Source organism: Homo sapiens, chromosome 14 (genome assembly GCF_000001405.40).
Source record: "Homo sapiens chromosome 14, GRCh38.p14 Primary Assembly".
Classification (NCBI taxonomy): Eukaryota; Metazoa; Chordata; class Mammalia; order Primates; family Hominidae; genus Homo; species Homo sapiens.
This window is the reverse complement of record NC_000014.9, coordinates 74,925,030-74,941,624: the sequence shown is the minus strand read 5'-3', so window position 1 is coordinate 74,941,624 and position 16,595 is coordinate 74,925,030. Positions and strand designations below refer to the sequence as shown.

General features: G+C 47.6%; 1 annotated feature.

Annotated features, from left to right (window-relative positions):
• Positions 6,618–7,185: an enhancer, noted in NCBI's record as "H3K4me1 hESC enhancer chr14:75401143-75401710 (GRCh37/hg19 assembly coordinates)". NCBI's record gives its function as "activates a minimal SCP1, AML or CMV promoter by ChIP-STARR-seq in primed H9 embryonic stem cells {active_cell/tissue: H9 hESC(primed)}" and the evidence as "EXISTENCE:reporter gene assay evidence [ECO:0000049][PMID:30033119]".

Genomic DNA, 16,595 nt, shown 5'->3' with positions numbered 1-16,595 from the left:
AGCTGAGGACACTTAGGCCCAAGAAGGTGAAATGGCTGATGGAGAGTTAAGAGCACTGAAGCGGGGGTCAGAGGCCTGGCTTTGTCTATAACTCACCGAGTGGCACTGGGCTTCCCTCTGCCTTCACGTTTCATCTCTGACCTGAGGGGCCTGGCTAGATGGCTCTTCTGGCTTTGACACATTTCTACTGGGGCCCAGGCTCAAGTCTCGGTGGCCCTGGGTGGTCACTGGAGACTGTTCCTGTGGAGGCCACTTCAAGGCTGCCCCGGAGGTCGCCCAACCTGCTTCTACAGCACCCTGGGGTCGCCCCTTCCCTAACGAGGAGCTCCCAAGATGTAGTTTTGTTTCCAAAGTTGAGGAGAGGCTGGTCCCAGCCACTTTTTAACAGCATCAAGAGCACAATCTCCTCCTCTCCCAGGGCTTAGGGCTGCCCCAGCCCAGTGCCGCAAGGACTCCCGAACTCCTCCGGCCCTCCTGATAGACATCCTGGGCTGGGTCTCAGGGCGCTGAACGGCAGCACGTATAGCCTGCTCGGGCTGCTGAACAGACGCAAGGACCAGCAGATGCTGCCCGGATTTCTCTGCCTTTTACCCCCCAGTTCCTTCCGTCTTCCTCCTCAGTGCTTTGGCAGGAAAAAAATAAATCTTCTTATTATTTTTTAATGGTTTTTTTTTTGAGACGGAGTCTCCTTCTGTCGCCCAGGCTGGAGTGCAGTGCCACAATCTCGGCTCACTGCAACCTCCACCTCCCAGGTTCAAGCGATTCTCCTGCCTCAGCCTTCTGAGTAGCTGGGATTACAGGCGTGCGCCACCATGCCCGGCTAATTTTTGTATTTTTAGTAGAGACAGGGTTTCACCATGTTGACCAAGCTGGTCTTGAACTCCTGACCTCAAGTGATCCACCCGCCTCAGCCTCCCAAAGTGCTGGGATGACAGGCATGAGCCACCATGCCAGGCCTATTTTTTTTTTAATCCAAACCACTTACTATCAAACTCCACTCTGCTTCTGACCTGCAAGGGGTGTGTGTGTGTGTGTGTGTGTGTGTGTGTGTGTGTGTGTGTGTCTGTGTGTCTGTGTCTTTGATGTTATATGCTGCTATATGTATTGGGGGAAGAGAAGTTCCCCCATTCTCTCCTCAGCCTCACTTCCTCATTTGAGGCTGCTGAGGAGAAACCCACAGGGACCCAGGGGCACAGGGGCCTGCCTGGGGCTTTGAGGGGAGCTGGGGATGTCCAGCGGAGTGGGGTGGCCCTGCTGAGGCAGCTGTCCTTGGTGCCCTGTTCACCGAGGCCTGGGGACTCTGCAGGACACGCTGGTCAGAATGTGCTTCTGGCTGTGGTCATAGACGGGTGTGAGTCAGCCCCAGGAGACATACTTTGCCAAAGAAATGCACTTCCTCTCCTGCCTCTCCTCTCTTTAGCTGCAGCTGTTCTGAGCTGTTGCCTTTGACCCACTGTGAACTGGGAAGAGCACCCATCCCCTCCCACTGGCCAGGCCTCTAGCTCAGCCCTGAGGACCCCAACCCAGGCCCGGTAGCATCTTCAAGGCTTTTGGCTCCATAAGGTCACCCACATGGCGGGCAGCCTCCCGACCCAGGCCAGTGACCCCTGTAGAGAGCAAGACAGAAACCAGAAAAGCTCCTGGAAGCCAGAAGCAAAACTCCACATCCGTGGGCAGGAGCCTCGCAGCAGGAATGGGTAGGAAGGAGCCAGCTGGCCTACTTGACTATATTGGCAGCCGTTCCAGCCATTTAGGTCCTAGAGGGATTTGCTTGTCATCTATTTGTGGAGCACCCTCTGTGTCCTAGACACTGACTAGGCATCCAGGATCCAGTGGGGACAGACACACAGGACCCTGCTCTCGTGGACCACACATGCGAGGGGAGAGACAGCCCATGCTCTAGTGCCAGAGGGTACTGGGTGGGCCTTTTCTGCTGCTCGAATGGGTGGCCGGACTCAGAGCTAAGGAAAAAGGGCCTTGAGTACCCCATATTCTAAAACAAAGGAACCATTTGAGACTAGGCCCATTTGCCTACAGGATTTATTAAGAGATGGTTAAAGCAATTCTGCTATGCCCCCAAATCTCCCAGCACCCCCTTCCTCAGTCTCCATAAGCAGAAGACCAGGACAGGGGAAGGAAGAGAGAGGGAGATGGGTCACTGGAGTCCTGGGGTGCTGACTCCCTCCCCTCCTCTCCCTGGATCTGGATTTGCTGTTGAGATCAGCCCACGCGCCATCTGGACAGGGAGGTTGGGGGAGGGCAGGATTGAAGAGGCAGAGACAGACAGGGCAGGGACTCCTTGGGGCACCCAGCAGTCGTTGCCCATGGGTCAGGTGGACATGGCGGAAGGTGCATGTCCTTGAGCTGTCTTGTCCATGTCCTCCCAAGAGGGAGGCCTGCAGCTGTGCAGACCCACAGTCGGTAGGCTGTTGGGTGGAGGTTGGGGCAGTGGCTGAGTGGTGGGGTGAGAGATATAGAGCTGAAGGGACCTCTCACATCAGGGAACAGTGGTGCGAGGTGGCCCTGTGGTGAACCCACAAGAGAGTTAGCATCTGAACGCCATCATGCCGGGAACATTCATAGCCAGAGAAGAAATGGCCACAGCTGACAGGGACTTTCCTGAAAGCTCTCCCTCCCCATCTGTGTGAAAGAAGAGAAAAGGGGAGAGAAAAGGAGGAGGAGAGAGAGAGAGGAGTGGGGGTACAGGGGCAAACTACACCCCTCCCCACTCCCCTGGGCCAAATCCAGACCCTGCCTGGGGAAGGGAAATGGTTAGTCTTGGTTAGATGGACCAGCCTAGATGGGGCTGGGCCTTTAATAAGCTAAAGCAACAGGAATACTAGAAGATCTGCCCAAGATACTGTTACGGGACAGAAAAAGGAGAACCAACATAGTTCATCTAGAAGCAATGATGGAAGGGGGAAAAAAACTTGCTCAATAAGCAAGTTACCCATATAAACAAATACATTAATAAGAAAATGTCTTGCTGCCAAAATGCGTTCTCTCATATTAGAGATGCTCTTGAATTATTTTACATTCCTCCTCTTAAGAGGTGAAGTGTCTTCCCTCTGTTTGAATCTGAATTGGCCTGGGTCTGCGTTGATCAGTAGACTATAGCAGAAGAGACCCTATACTTGTTTCAAGTCTAGCTTTCAAGAGGACTGGCAGCTTCTGCCTTGGTCTGTTGGAACCCTATGCTATCATGTAAGATGTCCAACTACCCTGAGGTCACCATGTTGGAAGGAAGCTCAAGCTGGCCGTATAGAGATGTGGAAAAAGAGAGAGAGAGAGAGACTCAGCCAACCCCAAGCTATTCCAACCCGCAGCCATTACAGTTATCTTAGCAGATGCCCCAGATCTTACAGAGCAAAGACAAGCTGTATCCACTGTGCCGTTTGATTTCCTTGATGCACAGAAACATAAAATACTATAATAACAAATTGTTTTGAGGTAGTTTGTTATGCAGCAATAAGAAACCAGAACAGAAAATAAGGAAAGGTGAAGAGATAGCGTTGGGGGGAAGGTACTCTAGGTCAGGAGGTTATGGATGGCATCTCTGTGGAGATGACATTGATGGTAAAGTTTGAAGGACAAGAAGGAGTTGGTCATGTAAAGATCAGGGATAAGAGCACTCCAGAGGGCACAGCTGGTGGAAAGTGCTGGAAGGAACCCCAGTGTGGCTGGAGCATGATGGGCAGGGAGGGGGGATATGGGATGTGATGTTGGAAGTAGCCAGGGGCCAGACCATAAAGGGCTTTGCAAGTCAGGGTAAGGAGTTCAAATTTTGTTATAATGTGAGATAAACCACTGCAGAGTTTCAAACAGGGGAATGAAATGACATTAGATACATTTTTTTCTTTTTGAGACAGGGTTTCACTCTGTCACCCATGCTAGAGTGCAGTGGCACAATCTCCGCTCACTGCAGCCTCCACCTGCCGGGTTCAAGCGATTCTCATGCCTCAGCCTCCTGAGTAGCTAGGACTACAGGTGCACACCACCACACCTGGCTAATTTTTGTGTTTTTATTAGAGACAGGGTTTTGCCATGTTGGCCAGGCTGGTCTCAAACTCCTGACCTCAAGTGATCCACCCACCTCAGCCTCCCAAAGTGTTAGGATTACAGGCGTGAGCCACCACACCCAGCCATTAGGTACATTTTTGAACAATCACTCCACCCACTATGTGGAAAATGGTCTCTAGGAGTGTAAAACTTAGAGTACAAATACCACTTCAAAGGCTGTGGAGAAGCCAGGCAACCAATTATGGTGGTTTGGTCTAGGGAGAAGTAACAAGGATAGAGAGAAGTAGATTGTTTGGTCTTAATCATGCACGTGGGCTGGTAACCCTGATCATTTATTCACTCATGAGCATTTTTTGAGTCTACAAGGCCTAGGTATTTTGTAGTAGATACATGTATGACAGGGCAAAGTATATTAGCAAGCAAAAGTCTTCCCTACCTACTAAAGAAAATTCTATTCTGCAATAAATAAGGGGAATAAGGAGAGAGATCACAGCTGGAGGGCTAAGCTGGTCTACCTAACAGCTAGGAAAGAGAAAGCAAGCAGGTAGGCAGAGGGAAATAAAAGGCCTCGGGGCTGGGACTAGAGAAGGAGTTTGGGGTTTTGCTGTGGAGTCTCTATTGATATAAGACAGTTTGAGAAGGGCTTTGAGGAAGCACTGTCATGCTCCCTAACATTGCAGGCCCGAATGTTCTTTGAGAGACGCCCACTCAGTGAGACACTAGGCAGAGACTGAACCCAGGGGAGCACCTCGATTAGCTAGGGTTACGCAGAGAGAAATAAGACATTGTCGCTGACCTTAAAAAGTTCGTCAGCGGAATCAGATATACACAGGTGATTAGAATAGAAGGAAAGCAGGCCATGTAGCTAAAAGAATGCAGCTGAAGAGCTGCTAAAGCCACCTGAGATGACCTGCAGCTGGGGAACATCAGAACTGGCTTTGCAAAGCTGGTGGCATTTGAGCTGTGACTTGAAGAGTAGGCAAGATTTGGGTCTGGGGAGATGACTGGGGAAGCCATTCTAGGTGGAGGCAACCCATTAACAAAGACCCCAGAGCTGGCAAAACCCCTACCTGTACAGGGACTCTCCAGCGGTTCAGTTTGGCTGATGCTTAAGGCAGGTGAATCAGAGGGTGATGGCTAAGGCTGGTAGGCGGGCTGGGCCCCGGGTGCCATGCTGGGGAGTTAGGGCTGTGCTAGGCTGCAAGAGGCATGTTTTTTAAACAATAACGTGGCCGGGCACAGTGGCTCACGCCTGTAATCTCAACACTTTGGGAGGCCAAAGCGAGAGGATTGCTTTGGCAATGAATTGAGGTCTTTACAAAAAAATTTTAAATTATGGCCGAGCATGGTGGCTCACGCCGTAATCCCACCACTTTGGGAGGCCGAGGCAGGTGAATCACTTGAGCCCAGGTGTTTGAGACTGGCCTGGGCAACATGGTGAAATCCCATCTCTACAAGAAATACAAAAATTTGCTGGGCATGGGGCTACAAGCCCCAGCTACTCAGGAGGCTGAGGCTGGAGAATCTCTTGAGCCTGGGAGGTGCAGGTTGCACTGAGCTGAGATCGCGCCACTACACTCCGGCTTGGGTGACAGGGTGAGATGCCATCTTAAATTAAAATTAAAAAAAAAAATTAGCCAGGTATGGTGGTGCACACCTGTAGTCCCAGCTACTTGGGAGACTGAGGCAGGAGGATTGCTTGATCCCAGGAGTTTGAGGCTGCAGAAAGCTATGATGTCACTGCACTCCAGCCTGGGCAACAGAGTGAGACCCTGTCTCTAAAAAAAAAAAATTAGAAATTAAACAATAATATGATATGATCATGGAATTTAGGGCTGAAAGAAAGTTTACAAATAATCCATTTCCACCTCCTCATCTTACAAATGAAGGAGCTGAGGCCCAGGCTGGTCCAAAGCCATGTAAGTTAAGCGAGTCAGAATTTAAAACTGTACCATAAGTGACTGACGTGGAATTGAATCCGAAGCCTGTGCTCACTGCCCCTCACCACCTCACCTCCTCTTGAGGATGGAGAGAGAGAAGGGCAGTGGGGCGGTAGGGAAGTGAGCTGGGTCCGCTCCCAGTCTGAGAGGCGGGCCAGACCATCTGCGGGTGGATTGGGTGGGTCAGCAGAAGAGGCCCCTATGAAAACTCTGGTGGGAACTCGAGGCCCCAGACAGGGTGGTGACAGGCCAGAGCCTTGGTGTGGAAAGATGGCCGTCTGTCAGCACCAGATCCCAGCAGCTGTTTCCCTAAAGAAGCCGGACCCTTCCTTTTCCTGAGGGAAGCCTGGGGCGCTCTCCTTCCCCCTGACCTTGGCTGTGACTGAGGCCGAGGAGGCCCCACCTCAGAGGCTCCAGGCCAAAAAGATGGTTCTTTTCTAGTCCCTGAGGTAACTTTGTGACCGTGGAAACCCTCGAGCAGGCAGGTCAGGCCGGGAGGAAGTTGAGGGCTCCCTCGCAGAGGTGGGTTCCCCGAGAGGTGTCGCCTGGGTGGCGGGAGAGGGTGCTGCCATTCTAGTAACTTCTCCCTGCACCACTCTCTGCAAGGTTGTTCCACTCCCTGTCCTCAGTGGCCTCTCCACCGCCACCCCCAGCCCTCGGTCTTCCCCTTCTCCTTCTCTCTTCTCTGAGGCCCTGCCCCCACACACCCAGCCTGGGCCACCCAAGAGTCACCACGTGGGCCACAGCGCTGGGTGTTTCCAGACATGGGCCACCTGACGTCCTCAGCGGGGGCCTAAGGCTTGGGCTGTAACAGCAGTACCCTCCCTCCTCCTCTCCCTTTCAAAGCCCTCTCTGCCACAAGCCTCTCCTGGGGCCTGCGAAGCCCTCTCACTTGCCAGACACGCTGGAAAGAAGTCCTGCGAGGGTGAGAAATCTGCCCGAGGAATTCCAGCCTCTCGGAGGAGGTGGCGGCTGACAGCTGGCCATGGCTGCTGTGCGGAGAAGCTGAAGTTGAGGTCTTGGGTTCACAAGGGGTGCCAGGCACGTCAGGGTCCAACCTGGGGGGGTGCTGCAAGTCCCCATGTCAGAACCTGGGGTGCACCCTGGAGCTGTCGCTCCTGGATTAGCCGGAAATACAGCTTCTCTCCAGACATGGGAGAGGCAAAGGAGGTCACAGGACTTTCCTCTCACATCCAAACCCAGGAGGCTCTGGGTGCCTGGGATCCTTCTTAGGAACCAGCCCTGGCCAGTCAAGATGAGCTCCAGCAGCGGAGAAGACACACAGGCTGCTCTACTGAGACCTTCCTCTTTGTGTGTATATAGAGCTATCTGCCCTTCCCCTTCTTCCCCCTAGAATAAAACATGCCCACCCTCTTAGGAAAAGACTAATTGGTATGTGGCTATGATATCAAGTGACTCTTAGAACCAATTATAAACCTGGTTTATATGGCCATGTGTTTCAGTAACTGTGCTGCTGAAACTATGCACTCAATCAGGACTAGCCCCACGCTTCTGAAAATAACCAGTCGGCAACAGCTGCATGCCAATGACTGTGCCAAAGATCAACCAGCACACGTTGACCCATCCTTAAACCACACACTTCCCAAAACCTGTATGGGATTAATTCTCTGCTTTGCTCAGAGATACGCTGTGCCTTGCAAGTACAGCTGTCCCTTGCTTAAGCATGCAGTAAATTCAGCCTGTGGTTTCAGATAATGAGTGGTTACACCTTTCTTCAATACCCCCCCAAAAAATCTGTCTTATAATCTATCACAAATTTTCCAAAATCCAAAGAATGAGCAACACTTTGTTTTTTCCAGCTTTGGTACAAAATTGGGGCCAGAAACTCCTCCCCCTGGTCTCCCTCTCTCTGATCCCTCTGCCCTCCTCCCAGGACCCAGCTCCCTCCTGGGAGATTGTGGTGGACCCTCGTGTGTCCCCACGTGGAGCACCTACAAAACAAATACATTTCCTTTTTGATAAAGTGGATCACATCTCTTGGCATAATTTTTATTATGGTGCATTATATCCAAAGACCCCACTACCACCATCACCACCAAGGATGAAGACAGGGAAGAAAGGAACAGATGAAGGAGACACCCTGTCACATATACTCAACTCCCCATACCAAAATGGGATCGTAATACATTTGTTATTTTATAACTTGCTTCCTAAACTTAACATATGATACACTGGCCAGGTGTGGTGGCTCATGCCTGTAATCCCAGCACTTTGAGAGGCCGAGGTGGGTGGATCACCTGAGGTCAGGAGTTCAAGACCAGCCTGGCCAACATGGTGAGACCCCATCTCTACTAAAAAAAAAAAAAGAAAAGAAAGAAAGAAAAATTAGCCGGGCATGGTGGCGGGTGCCTGTAATCCCAGCTACTCAGGAGGCTGAGGCAGGAGAATTGCTTGAACCTGGGAGGCGGAGGTTGCAGTGAGCTGACATCACACCACTGCACTCCAGCCTGGACAAGAAGAGCAAAACTCTGTCTCATACATACGGAGTTGTATTTCCCTTCTGCTACAATATGATTTTTAAGTCTTGAGTTGTATTGCATCATTTGGATATCCCATAATTTGATTAAAGGGTCTATTGTTGGATATGTAGGTCCTCTTTTTTTGGTGTTGTTTTAATAAATAATACTGTGATAAACATCCTTGTGGATATGACTCTGTGTGAAGAGGTTTTTCCCATCACAGAAATAGGAATGGCAGCAAAAAAAATCAAACCCATTCTTCCTCCAGGTGCCTTTCTATCCCGGTCTTGTGCTTTAGAGCAACATGTTTTGAAAGAGATGTGTACACTTTCAGTCTCTTTCTTGGCAGTTCCACTCACTACTGTAACGCAGCCCCTGCTAAAGTGACTCTAGGGACCTCCCTGGTGCCGATCAGCATTTTCCATTTTCATCTTACTCAGCAGCACGTGTGGCTCTTAGAATATGCTCCCAGTCCTTTCCTCAGCCTGGAAGATCCCATGAAGTCTGATCCCTGTCCTCCTTTGCAGCCCTGTCTCTTGCCATGCCGCCTCTTTCTCTAAGGGCCAACACACTTGTCTTTTTCTCAGTTTCTGGAATCTGTAGTGCCCCTCAGGACCTTTGCTCACACTGTTTCCTCTGCCCGGAAATCCCTTCCCCCTCCCACACCCAATCCCTCAACTCTGTTGACTAACAGACACACATCATCTGTAACTCAGCTAAAAGGTGCTTCCTCAGGAAAGCCTCCCAAACACTCCTCTGCATCACGTTGGGTCTGGTCCACCACTAGAGACTTAGGGAACTCCGTCTACTCCCTTACAGCTCTCCTCACTATATTATGAAAAATAAGTACATAATCCCAAAACTATATTCAATAATTTTTTTTTTAAAGAAAACAAGGTTTTACAGGCTGGGCGCTGTGGCTCATGCCTGTAAACCCAGTACTTTGGGAGGCTGAGGCGGGTGGATCACTTGAGGTCAGGAGTTCAAGACCAGCCTGGCCAACATGGCGAAATCCTGTCTCTACTAAAAATACAAAAATTAGCCAGGCATGGTGTTGCGCACCTGTAATCCCAGCTACTGGGGAGGCTGAGGCAGGAGAATCACTTGAACCCAGGAAGCAGAGGTTCCAGTGAGCCGAGATTGCACCACTGCACTCCAGTCTGGGTGACAGAGCGAGATTCTATCTCAAAAAAAAAAAAAAAAAAAGAAAACAAGAAAACAAGGGCTTGCGACATTGCCCAAGCTGAATGCAAACTTCAGAGATCCTCCCACCTCAGCCTCTCGCCTCAGCCTCCCGCTTCAGCCTCTTGCCTCAGCCTCCTGCCTTAGCCTCTCGCCTCAGCATCCCACTTCAGCCTCTTGCCTCAGCCTCCCACCTCAGCCTCTCACCTCAGCCTCCCGCTTCAGCCTCTCGCCTCAGCCTCTCACCTCAGCCTCTTGCCTCAGCCTCTCAAGTAGCTGGGACTACAGGTTTGAGCCACCACACCTAGCTATTCCATATATAATTTTTTAAAAGTAATTTTAACATTAGAAATTATATGCCAATATACTTTACTGTTTAAAAGCATAGAACAACTACAGGTGTTACAAAGCTCTAACTGACCGCTGCCCACTCTATTCCCCAAGAGGTCCCTTCCCCCACTCCCTGGAGAACTCCTCTGTTAGGGGCTTAATGTAATCAGTATAGTGGTCCAAACTTGGGTTCTGGAGCCAAACTGCTAGGGTTGGATTCCTAGCACTCCCAGTTCCTAGCTGTGTGAGCTTAATCAAGTTACTTAACCTCCCAGAGTCTCAGTTTTATCATCTGTAAAGATTAATAATAATAGCTAATAGTGTGGTTTTAGGATTTCAGTAAAGCCAGGCACAGTGGCTCAAGTCTGTAATCCCAGCACTTTAGGAGGCTGAGGCGGGCGGATTGCTTGAGGCCAGGAGCTCAAGACCAGCCTGGGCAACATGGCAAAACCCCGTCTCTACTAAAAATAACAAAAATTAGCCAGGCGTGGTGGCACATGCCTGTAATCCCAGCTACTCAGGAGGCTGAGGCAGGAGAATCGCTTAAACCTGGGAGGCGGAGGTTACAGTGAGCCGAGATCATGTCACTGCTCTCCAACCTGGGCAACAGAGTGAGACTGTCTCAAACAAAACAAAAGAAAACACACACCCAGAATGTCTGAAGTGGCTGTTAAATTACTCCTCCCTTTTCCAGCTACATCTCTGTGTGAGGCCGGATTTTCTTCACCTACTTCAACCAGAACAACTCATCACAGCAGACTGAACACAGAAGCAGATATGACAGCACAGCGGTCTTCTATCCCTAAGGTCAGCATTAAAGAGGTTTTCAAAAAGGAAAATAATTCTACTCCTGTCACCAAATACTTTTAAAATATTTTCATAAAACATTCATGTTACCATATGTTGGATTTCTTGTTATTTTTAAATAATGAAATATCCTTAAATGTCTTTTATAATACACTAAATATCAATAGAAATAACGCAGATAAACAAAGGCTCTGTGTTGATGAGACCAAAAAGTTAGAGAACTGCTTCTTTCAAGTCTATGTTGTTTACCAAGAAGCAACCCAGAAATTATTTCAGTTACTTTAGCTACTGAAATGAATATCCCTTAAGAGTGAAAAACGGCTGGGTGCGGTGGCTCACACCTGTAATGCCAGCACTTTGGGAGGCTGAGGCAGGAGGATCACAGGGTCAGGAGTTCGAGACCAGCCTGACCAACATGGTGAAACCCGTCTGTACTAAAAATACAAAAATTAGCAGGGTGTGGTGGTGCACACCTGTAATCCCAGCTGCTCAGGAGGCTGAAGCAGGAGAATTGCTTGAACCCAGGAGGCAGAGGTTGCAGTGAGCCAAGATCGCACCACTGCACTCCAGCCTGGGCAACAGAGCAAGACTCCATCTCAAAAAAAAAAAAAAAGGAGTGGAAAACATCTCAGAATCTTACTAGGTGGGACCATGGTTTCCTGCCAGTCCCTGTCACAAAGCTCTCTGTGACATGGGGAAGGAAATTCCTCCTGAGTTCTTGAGGTCGTGCTGTGGTGCCCACAGTGTGTGATGGCTCACTCGGTCTTAGGCCAGTTAAGCTATGAATTTGTAGATCTTTTTAGATTGTCCTTCAAATTTAATTATTAGATTTGTAAACATTCTGCCTTCCTTTCGTGAAGTATTTTCTAAAAACCATGAAGCACTTTAAACTTCATTTGATTTTGACAATTCCCCTATTACCTATTCTGAATTACCTGGACACTAAGAAAGGTGGCCATGGAATGTTTAAGACCACTTAGTCAGAAAGTCTGTTTAAAATTCTGGTGTCAGGCAAGTACTTTGTAAAGAAAATAGAGATGGTGAAATTATTGCAGCTGTTCTAGTAGGATGCAAATACAGCAGCAATGCAGCTGCATGAAGATTAGTGCTGCACTGTCCTGATAGCCAGTACAACCAGCAGATCAGAAACATGAAAATGTGAATGGCGGCCAGGTACAGTGGCTCACGCCTGTCATCTCGCCACTTTAGGAGGCTGAGTGGGGAGGATCACTTGAGCCCAGGAGTATGAGACCAGCTTGGGTAAATCACAAGACCCCCGTCTCTACAAAGAAGTTTAAAAAGTAGCTGAGCATAGTCCCAGCTACTGTGGAGGCTGAGGTGGGAGGATGGCTTGAGCCCAGGAGGTCGAGGCTGCAATGAACTGAGATTGCGACACTGCACTCCAGCCTGGACGACAAAGCAAGAACTTGTCTCAACAAAACAAAACAAAAACCCACAAATCCTGCATTTCTGGACCTACAGATTCGCTTCCTGCACCCACAGACATGGGGCACTTGCTCTTCCTGCTGCTTCCATGCCCTGCAGTTGTGCTGGGGCATGAGATGCAGCTTTATTTCCTGTCATCTCTGTGTTCTGTTTCCTGGGTTTTCAACACACATCGTATGTTTCACTGACACAGTTTGGATTTGTTGCCATTGAGCATACAGGTTTCCTTTGGGTAGATATATTGTTTAATGAAAAAAATCAAGGTTCAATACAGTGTATAATATGCCCAGGAAAAATGGGAAGAATTGATTGACTGAGCCCCAGTAAATTGATAACTGCACCTGGTAGTGGGTCCTGGAGGCACAGAATAGGATACAGACTTCCCTGCACACCCTTTAGAGGGTGTGGATATTTTTTATTTACATTTATTCTCCTTTTTAGTTTGTTTTGCTATGAAATATTTCATATATATAAAATAATACAGGCCGGGTGAGGTGGCTTAAGTCTGTAATCCCAGCACTTTGGGAGGCCGAGGCAGATGGATCACCTGAGGTCAGGAGTTCGAGACCAGCCTGGCCAATATGGTGAAACCCTGTTTCTACTAAAAATAATACAAATATTAGCTGGGCGTGGTGGCGGGAGCCTGTAATTCCAGCTACTTGGGAGGCTGAGGCAGGAGAATCTCTTGAACCCCGGAGGCAGAGGTTGCAGTGAGCCAAAATCACGCCATTGCACTCTAGCCTGGGCGACAAGAGCAAAACTCTGTCTCAAAATAATAATAATAATAATAGTACGATGTTTACATAGGCCTAAATATTAATAAAAGAATAAAAGTTTTTAAAATATAGATATAAATATAAATGGCATCATATTGTAGGTGGCACTTAGGAGCTGACTTTTTTTACTCAGGAATATGCTTTTGAGATCTGTACATGTTCATGCACATAGATTTGGTTCAGTTTCATTGTTTTAAAATGCTGAAAATAATAATTTAATATATGAATATCCCACATGTTATTAACTTCATATTGATATTACTTATGATATTATGTTTGGAATTTATTCCATTTCTTAATATTGCAAGCAATGTTGCCATAAATATCCATATATATTCTTATGTATCTGGGCAAGCATTTTCCTAGATTAAATATCTAGAAGTAGAATTGATAGATTATGTGTGCAGGTTGAGCATCCCTAATCTGAAAATCCAAAACCCAAAATGCTCAAAAATCTGAAATATTTTGAGCACAGACATGACACCACCAGTGAAAAATTCCACACTTAACCTCATGTGATGGATAGCAGTCAAAACACTCAAGGACCACCTGTAATCCCAGCACTTTGGGAGGCCAAGGCAAGAGGATCGCTGGGCTCACCAATTGTTGCTGTTGAGTTTTCCAGGTGGATGATCGCATCACCAGAAACTATGGCAATTTGGCCTCTTCCTTTCCAATCCTTAAACCTCTTGCTTGTCTTTAAATTTTTATTGCATTAGTTGTAACTTCCAGTACATTGTAGAAGAGTAGAAGCATTGATTCATTTCTGACTGCATTGGATGTAACATTCAGGATAGGTCAAGGTATATTACAGTAACAAACGATCCCAAAATCTAGTGGCTTAACACAATAGAAATTTATTTCTCACTCACATTTCATGTCCAACACAAGTCTTAGGGCTGAGGAGGCATCCATTTATTGTTTCTCAGGGATCCAGGCTAATTGAGGCTCTGCACCTCCATGGTCAGCTACTTCCAGGATCACTAAGGCAGGAGGAACAAGCTTTGGGAGCTTCCACCCTAAAGCAACATGTATTCTGTTCACTAGCATTTCAAAGCAAGTGCCATGGCCAAGCCTAACTTCTAAAGCGGTAGAGGAGTAGGACCCTTCCAGATACCAGAAAAACAGTCGGACCGTGGCAATGTTTCCAATGCTGCACCATTACAAATGGTGTTTGCTCTAAGTTTCTGGTAGATAACACCTTATCAAGTTAAGAAGTACGTTCATGAGTTTGTTCAGTTTGTTAAGCAAGTTAAGAGGTTGTCTTTATCGTGAATGCATGTTGACTTTTATCAAATGACTTTATGCCATCTGTTTGATGAGCAAATGCTGTTTTTTCTCCCTTAGTTTGTTAAGGCATTTATACATATTGTTTCTCCTCCCCGAACATTTCCTTCCACTGCCCTCTCTAACCACTTTTCCTGGTTAATTCCTTCTCATCCTTTAGTGTTCACTCATTCATTCAGCAAATATTTATTGAATAATACTATATGCCAGATGCTGCCCTAGGCACTTGGGATACAGTGATGAATAAAGCAGACAAAAAAACCCTTGCCCATGTGGATCTTACACTGGGGGTAGGAAATGAAATAAACATAAAAACAGGCCAGGCATGGTGGATCGTTCCTGTAATCCTAGCGCTATGGGAGGCCAAAGCAGGAGGATTGCTTGAGCCCAGGAGTTCAAGACCAGCCTGGGCAACATAGTGAGACCCCCGTCTCTAAAAAAAAAAAAAAAAAATTAGCTGACATGATGGCATGTGCCCATACTCTCAGCTACTCAGGAGGCTAAGATGGAAGGAGTTGCTTGAGCCCAGGATATTGAGACTGCAGTGAGCTGTGATTGCACCACTGTACTCCAGCTGGGTAAAAGAATGAGACACCATGTCAAAGAAAAAACAAATAAGTTGTATAGCATCAATAGTAAGTTATGTAGCTAACAGTGTTAAGTACAATGGAAAAGAAGCAGAGCAGAGGGAATGAGGGGGAATGAAGATGTTGTGGGTGAGGTATGGTCAGAGTAGGTCTCACAAGAAAGTCACATCAGGGCAACGCCTCAGAACAGGGGCAGGGGCTGGGCGTGGTGGCTCATGCCTGTAATTCCAGCACTTTGGGATGCCTAGGCGGGTGGATCACTTGAGGTCAGGAGTTCGAGACCAGCCTGGCCAACATGGTGAAACCCCATCTCTACTAAAAATACAAGACTTAGCCAGGAGTGATGGTGTGCACCTGTAATCCCAGCTACTTGGGATGCTGAGGCAGAAGAATCGCTTGAACCCAGGAGGTGAAGGTTGCAGTGAGCCGATATTGCACCATTGCACTCCAGTCTGGGGGAAAGAGCGAGACTCGGTCTCAAAAAAAGAACAAAACAAAAAAAGCCAGGGGCAGGGAAAACCAGACAAATACGTGGTGGCAGACAATTTCAGCCAGAAGGCAGCTGCTGGGCAAAGCCCCTGGGGTGAGAGCTGCCTGGTGTGTCCCAGGAGTTGCAGTGGAGTGAGTGAGGTTGGTGAAAAATAATGGAGAGGGGCAAGGGGCTGTGCGAAAAAATAAGAGAAATCAGGATGGTTCCAAAATGTTTGGCCTGAGCAACAACAGGATGGGCGGATCATCAGGATGGGGATGGGAAAGGCTTCAGGTGGAAAAGGTTTCAGGGCAGGATCAAGAGTTCAGGCATTGTTTTTTCTTTCTTTTTTATTGTAATAATTTTTTATTGAGATATAATTCACATACCATAAAATTTACGATTTTATTTTATTTTTTTGTTTGTTTGTTTGTGTTTGAGACGGAGTTTCGCTCTTGTTGCCCAGGCTGGAGTGCAATGGCACGATCTTGGCTCACTGCAGCCTCCGCCTTCTGAGTTCAAGCAATTATCCTGCCTCAGCCTCCTGAGTAGCTGGGATTATAGGCATGCACCACCATACCCAGCTAATTTTTTTGTATTTTTGGTAGAGATGGGATTTCTCCATGTTGGTCAGGCTGGTCTCCAGCTCCCAAGATTTCAGGTGATCCACCCGTGTCAACCTCCCAAAGTGCTGGGATTACAGGCGTGAGCCACCGTGCCCGGCCAAAATTTACCTTTTTAAAATATATAATTTAGTGGTCCTTAGTATTATTCACTAGGTTGTACAACTCTTACCACTGTCTAATTCTAGAACATTTGATGACCCCAAAAAGAAACCCCATACACACTGTCCCCTCCCTGACATGAACTTTCTGTCTCTGGAAACTTCCTATAAATGGAAGTATACAATATGTGTCCTTTTGTGACTGGCTTCTTTCACTTAGTATACTGTTTTCAAGGTTCATCTATGTTGTAGCATGTATCAGCACTCCACTCTTTTTTATGGCTGAATAATATTCCATTATACGGATACATCACATTTTATGCATGCATCAGGTGATGGACCTTGGGTGTTGCCACTTTTTGGCTATTATGAATAATGCTGCTATCAACATTCATGTGCAAGTTTTTATGTGAACATATGTGTTCAATACTCTTAAGTATACACCTAGAAGTAGATTGCTGCGTTATATGGTAAATCTATTTTAACTTTTTGAGGAACTGGCAAATTGTTTTCCAAAGCAGCTGTTCCTTTTACATTCTCATCAGCA